Source organism: Homo sapiens, chromosome 1 (assembly GCF_000001405.40).
Source record: "Homo sapiens chromosome 1, GRCh38.p14 Primary Assembly".
Classification (NCBI taxonomy): domain Eukaryota; kingdom Metazoa; phylum Chordata; class Mammalia; order Primates; family Hominidae; genus Homo; species Homo sapiens.
The window spans coordinates 153,524,013-153,532,590 of NC_000001.11; the positions used below are offsets into that span (position 1 = coordinate 153,524,013).

Below are 8,578 nucleotides of genomic sequence, written 5' to 3' on the forward strand. Positions count from 1 at the left end.
TGTAATCCCAGCTACTGGGGAGGCTGAGGTGGGAGAATCACTAGAACCCGAGAGGTGGAGGTTGCAGTGAGCCGAGATCGCACCACTGCACTCCAGCCTGGGCAACAGAGCAAGACCCTGTCTCAAAAAAAAAAAAAAAAAAAAACCAAGAACACAAAATAGATGGTAGGAATAAGAACAAATATATCAGTAACATCAATACATATGAATGAATTAATTGTTCCAGTTAGAAAAGAGAAATCAACTGGTCAGATTTTTTAAATCCATATGTGCTATTTACATAAAAACAAATCTAAAGCAAAAGAATACAAAAGATTAACAGGAGAAGAATGAAAAAATATATAACATGTAAATATAACCAAACAAAAGCTGGTTAATATAACATGTGTAGAACTAACCAATATATATATTGTTTAGGCTGGGCGTGGTGGCTCACACCTGTAATCCCAGCACTTTGGGATGCCAAGCCAGGTGGATCACCTGAGGTCAGGAGTTCGAGACCAGCCTGACCAACATGGCAAAACCCCATCTCTACTAAAAATACAAAAATTAGTTGTGTGTAGTGGCGCGTGCCTGTAGTCCCAGCTACTCAGGAGGCTGAGACCAAAGAATAGCTTGAACCCAGGAGAAGGAGGTTGCAGTGAGCCAAGATCATGCCACTGCACTCTAGCCTGGGTGACAAAGCGAGACTCTGTCTCAAAGAAAAAAAAATAGAGAGAGAGAGAGAGTTTAGTAACTCCAGCTGGTTACATATTATGTACATTTATAAGACAATATAAAACTTATTGGGTAGCTAAAATAGTACTTAGATGAAGTATATAGCCTTAAAGTTATATATTAGAAAAGACAAAAGTCTAAAAATAAATGAATCGGGCCAGGCGTGGTGGCTCACACCTGTAATTCCAGCACTTTGGGAGGCTGAGGCAGGAGGATCACTTGAGGTCAGGAGTTCTAGACCAGTGTGACCAACATGGCAAAACCCGGTCTCTACTAAAAATACAAAAATTAGCCAGGTGTGGTGGCGCATGCCTGTATTCTCAGCTACTCAGGAGGCTGAAGTAGGAGAAGCTCAAACCTGGGAGGTGGAGGCTGCAGTGAGCAGAGATCGTGCCACTGCACTCCAGCCTAGGGACAGAGTAAGACTGTCCTAAAAAAAAAAAAAAAAAAAAAGAGAGGGTGACAGAAAGAGAGAGAGAGATCAGCCTGGGCAACATGGCAAAACCTCGTCTCTATTTAAAAAAAAGAAAAAGAAAGAAAGAGAGAGAGAGAGAAAGGAAGAAAGGAAGGAAGAAAGAAGAAAGAAAGAAAAGAAAAGAAAGAAAGTTAGTTCTCCCTATTCTTGGTTTTCTGAGATTTTTTTTTCCCCCAGCACAGCACAGCAGTTCTACAGAAAGGCCACCAGACTGCTTATTCATATGGACCTCTAGTCACCCCTGGCAGTGTTTTCCAGCCAGCAAAGGTTTCAAACCTCCCTGGATGGAGCTCAGAGAGGAAGGGATGAGCCACCATCTGTGCTGTTTGGCTGCTTTAGCCACTCTTGCCTTTGGGCTTTGAGGAGTCTGAGGCAACTGGGGGCTGGAGCGGACCTGCAGCATACCACAGCTGCTCTACAAAAACATGGCCAGACTGCTTTTTTAAGCAGGTCTCTGATCCTATTCCTCCTTGCTGGGCAGGAGGTTAATAAGCTGGTCTGCAGCTACCTCTGCCATTGTTTTCCAGCAAGCAGCAGTTCCAAACCTCCTTCAACCTGCCCAGGTCATTGTGCACAAGGGGTCGAAGGATGGAGCTGTCAGAGGTGTGGAGTCCTAATAGGAAAAAGGAGTCAGGCTGGTGGGACCAGGGAAAAGCAAAAAGAGAAAGCAGATCAGCTATAAGTGGGCCTTTCTTCATGATCCAGGACTCATAGCACTCATGTACAAATAACTCACAATCTTCCTGTGCCCAACTGATAGAGGATTTTGCTCCTTAACTCAGCTAAATCCAGGTTCTTGTGTTACAACCAGGAAACATTAGGCATATGGATGCATTGAAGGATGAGGAGGGTGAAATTTATTGAGCAAAAGAGGGGTCCCCTCTCAGCAAATAGAGGGGTCCTGCAAACAGGTTTCCACCTCACAATTGAATACCAGGGCTCCCACATATGCACTGAAGAGTCAGGCTCCTTCCCTTGCATAAGGTATGAATTCCTGGTGGCTCCACCCCGACCTTTCGGTGTGCATGGGGGCCCTTAGTCTGAGCCACTCCACATTGATTTATTTCCCTTACTGTGCATGTGTTAAGGGATGGAATTTTTCACCGTGCACATGTTTAGGCAAGCCCCTGTGCACAATGACCTGGGCGGGTTGGAAGTTCTCCAAGGACACTTCCCTATCTGCCTAGGCATTTGGCTGGCCGTTGCCTCTATCACAACTATCACCAGACCCTCAGCTGATAGAAATTGGAAGTTAGCTCACTGCAACCTTGGCATTGTCGGTACTGCTGTGCCGATGTAACCATCCGTACACAGAAAAGAGCCATCCTATAAAATCCCCAGCAAGCCTTTGTTTCCTTGCAGTCAGCTCCTCTCTTGCTGACTCTGCCAGTTGCTCTTTTGCAACATATTCATACTTTCTCTAATAAATCTGCCTATCTTTACCTACAACTATCTTGGTAAATTATTTTACCGTCCACACATTACCAGCCCCAGAGAGTTGCTGCTCACCTGTGACATTTTAGTTGCCCGTAGGGGAACTCTCTCTCCTTATGGGGAACTCTCTCACCTCTCTCTTTCTCTTTCCCAACTGGGGACCCTTGGTGGACAGCATCTAAGCATAAAAACAACTATAGGTCTCTGGCTGGAGCTACACTTAGGTGGAACTAAACGGTGTCCATGTGGAACTGTCTTACGGCTACCACCCATTTGGGTGAGAGGCCTAAGTTTATGTTATCTTTTCAGTCTCCCAGCAGCTGGCTTCTAGTATCCCTCTGGCAATTGACAGCAACTAGCCCAGGCCACTTTCCAGTGTTACCTGAAGGCCAGAGGGTGAATGGGGCTGGCCACCTTGCCCAGAAGGGAAGAAGGCTCTCTCCTGTATTTTCTGGTTGGAAGTCCCTAATCCCTATGCATGCAACTGGCCATGGATGCTCATTCAGAGCAAATTCACACACGTTTTGGGTGACTCAGACCCTCTCTTTCTTACTCTAAATTCTCCTGTGGAGTCAGCCAGGCATCCTGTCCCAGATGTTGCTAAATCAGGTGATCTCAGACAGCCTCGGAACAATGAGTCTTCCCCTACCCGCCCCCTCCGCTGGGCTAGCACAGGCAGAGCTCTCCCTTCACCTGTTTTCCTTGTACCTGGATTGGCCTTATGCGGGATGGCCAATGCAGGTACAAGGAAGCAGCCAAGTGGTCTTTTCTAATAGGTGGGACCCCCCTTTAGAAAGTGCACCCCCAAGTCCCTCAGCAGACACAGTGGAACCCTTTTTCATCTTGGAGGGACACCTCGAGAGAAAGTGTGGTTCATGCTCCAAAAAGAGTCCCGCCCCCAAGCACATGGTTCCCAGGCCCACCATGGGACAAACCCCGTCTGTTCCTTCAGACTCACCTCTAGGCTGCATCCTAAAGTATTGGGGCAAATTCAACCCCCAAACTCTCAAAAAAGAAACATCTGGGTTTTCTTGTGTAATACAGCATGGCCGCTATGCAGGAAATCCTCAAATTAACCTCCTCAGTCTTTTATCATTGAGAGCAGAATAAGGATAACAGGACTAAAAAGAGAAAGAAAAATGCAGAGACAGGAGGCAGACTCAACTGTTGGCTGCTTCACAAGCCCTCAGCTCCCTCCAGGTTTCCTTAAAAGCACTCGTCCAAGTAATTGCCATCAGTGCAGAAGGCCAGGCCGATAAAAGACAAAGTGCCCCGATAAAATAAATGGGAAAAAGCCCTGTATGGCTTAGCACCTCTGCCACAAGCTCAGCCAGTGGAAACAGGACTGCCCTGGAAACCAAAGGGCCCCTGGGAAGGAATCCTAACCCCTGATGGCCGTGAGCTAAAGGGGCTCTCTTCTCCAGCTGAAAAGATCTCACCTTAACTGGTGAGTTGTGAAAGGGGATGAATTTGTCCCAAACCGTGTAGGTCTGGGGTGCTAAGGCTCTCCCTAATGGGAAATAAACAAGGGTGGTAGGGTGCTGCCACCACTCCGTGCAGTGGCTAGAAGGCTCACGCCTGTAATCCCAACATTTTGGGAGGCCAAGGCGGGCAGATCACTTGAGATCAGGAATTTAAGACCAGCCTGGCCAACATGGCGAAACCCTGTCTCTACTAAAAATACAAAAATTAGCCAGGCGACTAATTTTTGGTGACGGGCACCTGTAATCCCAGCTACTTGGGAGGCTGAGGCAGGAGAATCACTTGAACCCAGGAGGTTGGAGGTTGCGGTGAGCTGAGATCAGGCCACTGTACTCCAGCCTGGGTGACAAAGTGAGAATCCATCTAAAAAATATATATAGATATATAGATATAGATATATACCTCAATAAAATTGTTTAAAATTTTTTTAAAGACATACAAATGGCCAAGAAGTATATGAAAAAATGTTCAGCATCACTAATCATCAGGAAAATGCAAATCAAAACCATAATGAGATATCTCATCTCAGTTAAAATAGGGTATCAATAAAATATCTATTATCAAAAAGACAGAAAATAACAGATGCTGGCAAGGATGTGCAGAAGAGAGAACACTAGTCTATTCTTGGTGGGAATGTAAATTAGTACAGTCACAATGGAGAACAGTATGGCGGTTTCTCAATAAAGTGAAAATAGATCTGTCATACGATTCAGCAATCCCACTGCTGGTAATATATCAAAAGGAAAGAAAATCAGTATATCAAAGGGATATTTACATCCTCATGTTTATTACAGCACTATTTATAATAGTCGAGATATGGAATCAGCCTAAGTGTCCATTAATGGATGAATGAATAAAGGAAATGCAGTATATATACACAATGGGATACTAGTCATTCACAAAAAAAGAATGAAATCCTTTCACTTGCAGCACGATACAGAAATACAAACATCAAATGTTCTCACTCATATATGGGAGATAAAAAAGTAAATCTCATAAAGGCAGAGAGTAGGATGGTGATTCCCACAGGCTGGGAAGGGTAGAGGACGGGGGAGGATAAAGAGAAGTTGGTTAATAGGTACAAAAATACAGTTAAACAGAAGGAACAAATTCCAGTGTTCCATAACACAGCAAGGGACCTTTAGTTAAAAGAACGTATAGCAAATTTCAGAACAGCTAGAAAAAAAGATATGGAATGTTCCCAACACAAAGAAATGGTAAATGTTTGAGGTGATGGATACCCAATTACCCTGATTTGATCATTACATATGGTATGCTTGTATCAAAATATCACACGTACCCCATAAATATGTACCGCTATTATGCATCAATAAAAAATCATGTTGCACATGAAAAAAATAGAAGAGATTAGCTGAGAGTCTAGCACCTTTTAAACATCTGAATAGGAAATATTTGCCATCTATTGCCTCTAAGGGTGGCCGCCTATGAGACTTCATCTACATAATAAGAACTTTAGTCTCCACAATCCTTTATCTTAACCCAGACCCTCCTTTCTATTGATTCTGGGTCTTCAGGTAATAATTTAACTCTTTCAATCAATTGCCAATCAGAAATTATTTTAATTCACCTATGACGTGTAAGTCTTCACTTTGAGATGTCCCATCTTTCCAGACCAAATCAATGTATACCTTAATGTGTTGATGTTTGCCTGTAACTTCTGTCACCCTAGAATGTATAAAATCAAGCTATAACCCAACCACCTTGGTCACATGGTCTCAGGACCTCCTGAGGCTGTGTCATGGGTCATGGTCTTCACATGTGGCTCAGAATAAATCTCTTTAAATATTTTATAAGCCAGGCATGGTGGCTCATGCCTGTAATCCCAGCACTTTGGGAGGCTGAGGTGGAAGGATTGCTTGAGCCCAAGAGTTCAAGACTAGCCTGGACAACACAGTGAGACCTCATCTCTTTTTAAAAATAATAATAATTAAAAATAAAATACAAAAAATATATACATATATGTTACAGAGGTTGGCTTTTTCATAAACAAAAATATGGCATTTGCAACAATGTCAATAAATTGTACAATTAAGTATACACTTGGTGAAAATGATAACATGTTATTTAAAGACATTTAAAAAATCCAGGTGGGGCAGGATGGCTCACACCTGCAAGCTCAAAACTTTGGGAGGTTGAGATGTGAGGATCATTTGAGCCCAGGATTTTGAGACCAGCCTGGGCAACATAGTGAGACCTCATCTCTACAAAAAAATTAAAAAAAATTAGGCAGGCATGGTGACACACACCTATAGTCCCAGCAACTCAGGAGGCTGAGGTGGGAGGATTGCTTGACCCTGGGAGGTGGAGGTTGCAGTGAGCCAAGATTGCACTACTGCATTCCAGCCTGGGCAACAGAGCAAGACTCTGTCTCAAAAAGAAAAAAAGCAAATTGATACCTTCTTAATTTTCAATCCTTAAAAGAGTGCAAAAACAAGCCACAAACTAGATGACATTTGCAACATATATAAGGACAAGAGCAAAAATCTTGACCAGAAACTTCACAGAAAGAGAAACTTATGGCCAATAAACATATGAAAAAGTGCTTGGCCGGGCACAGTGGCTCACGCCTGTAATCCCAGCACTTTGGGAGGCCAAGGAGGGCGGATCATGAGGTCAGGAGGTTGAGACCGTGCTGGCTAAGACGGTGAAACCCCGTCTATACTTAAAAAAAAAAAAAAAAGAAAAAGAAAAGAAAAGATGCTCAGAATCATCAGTAATCCTGGAAATACAAATTTTAAAAATCAGTTAACATTTCATACTGGGCACCAAAAAAACTTAGCCCAACAAAAAATAAGGATGTGGAATAAATGGAACATGCAAAGCTGTTATGAGTACAAATTAGTACAATAACCTTGAAAAACAAGGTGGCATTTTCTAGTAAAAATGAAAGTGAGTACTCTACACACCAGCAATTCCACTCATAGGTGCAAACCTCCAGCAACTCTGGTACGTATCCTAGGAGATATCTACAGGAATGGTCACAGAAGCACTGTTTGTAATGGGGAAAATAGAAATAATCCAAAATGATAATTAGCAATAGTCAGGATAAATAATGTTATAGTCATATGATGAACTCTTACATAGCAGTGAAAACTAGCAAACTAGAGCAACTTGGATAAATCTCAAACATAACGTTGAGTGAAAAACAGCCAGTAACAGAAGAATGCACATGGCATTATTCCATTTACATAAAACTCACAATAATGTAAACCCATATATCATTTAGAGATGAAAATACATGTAGTAAAAATTATTAAGAAAGGAAATGACAAATAGTATTACCAGACAGCGGTCCCACTGAGAGGGAAGAAAATGGGATGGGGAAGACAAGTTAGGGAATTAGAAGGTGATGGTAATGTTCACTTGTTATACTGGGTGGATTTTGTGTCATTGTTCTTATATCTTAGATTTAGTCTATAAACAGTTTTATGTATTCCCAATATCTAATTAAAACATTTAAGAGAAAAAGATAAGGAAGAAATGGTCAAAGAATGTCATGAGACAGGCACTAATGAGCTGGCCTGGAATCAGGAGAACTCAGCTCTGCTCGCAGCTCCCTCTTAACTTACAGTCTGACCTGGGTAGAGGCAATGGCTTCCCTGTAGCTCCCTCTTGTCACTTGTCCAGTGGGGTTAATCATATATACTACACAGGCTGAGCACAGCGGCTCACATGGCTCACACCTTAATCCCAGCACTTTGGGAGGCCAAGTGGGGAGGATCACTTGAGGTCAGGAATTCAAGCCCAGCTTGAGCAAAACAGCAAGACCTCATCTCTACAAAAAATAAATTAGCCAGACATGTTGGTGTACACCTGTAGTCCTAGATACTCGGGAGGCTGAGGTGAGAGGATCACTTGAGCCCAGGAGTTGGAGGCTGCAGTGAGCTATGATAGTGTCACTGCACTCTATCCTGGGCAACAGAGAGAGACAGTCTCTAAAAAATTAAAATAAAATAATACATACTACACACAAATCTTCTAAGATGACAAGAGGCAATGGCTATGATAGGTGCCTCACAAAAATGAAGCTGCTATAAAAATGTGGTCCTATACAAAGGTGGTGGCATTATTCTTGACAATTTCCTTTTTGCTTGGCAAAAAACAGAGAGCTACTTCCTGTGACTCAGTCCTAAACCCCCTAACTGGGGCCTGCCCCAGTTTACAGAGATGGTCTGTGGTGCTGCTGTTGCAGCTTCACCAATGTTAGGGTGATTAGATTGTAGGATTAATGTCAGTAATGGGAGGACCTCAACTGAAGGAAGTGGAGAGACTAGAGCCACTCCCACTGCTCAACCTTCAGAGAAGCAAAGTGACCTCTCATGAAGCCCTCAGCTCACATCCTAACTTTTCCCCATCCTGTAAGCCCACACCATACTCAACAGTGAGCTGAAAGGATTCAATTCCAACTTTAAATTGGTCGGAGCAATAAAACGTCCAGTCTATGCACCT

The 8,578-nt window shown here is 43.0% G+C and overlaps 1 annotated feature.

The window, feature by feature from the left end:
• Nucleotides 8,217-8,544: a transcriptional cis regulatory region, noted in NCBI's record as "candidate enhancer chr1.8692 targeted for multiplex CRISPR interference". NCBI's record gives its function as "positively regulates S100A6 gene expression in K562 cells {active_cell/tissue: K562}" and the evidence as "EXISTENCE:mutant phenotype evidence [ECO:0000015][PMID:30612741]".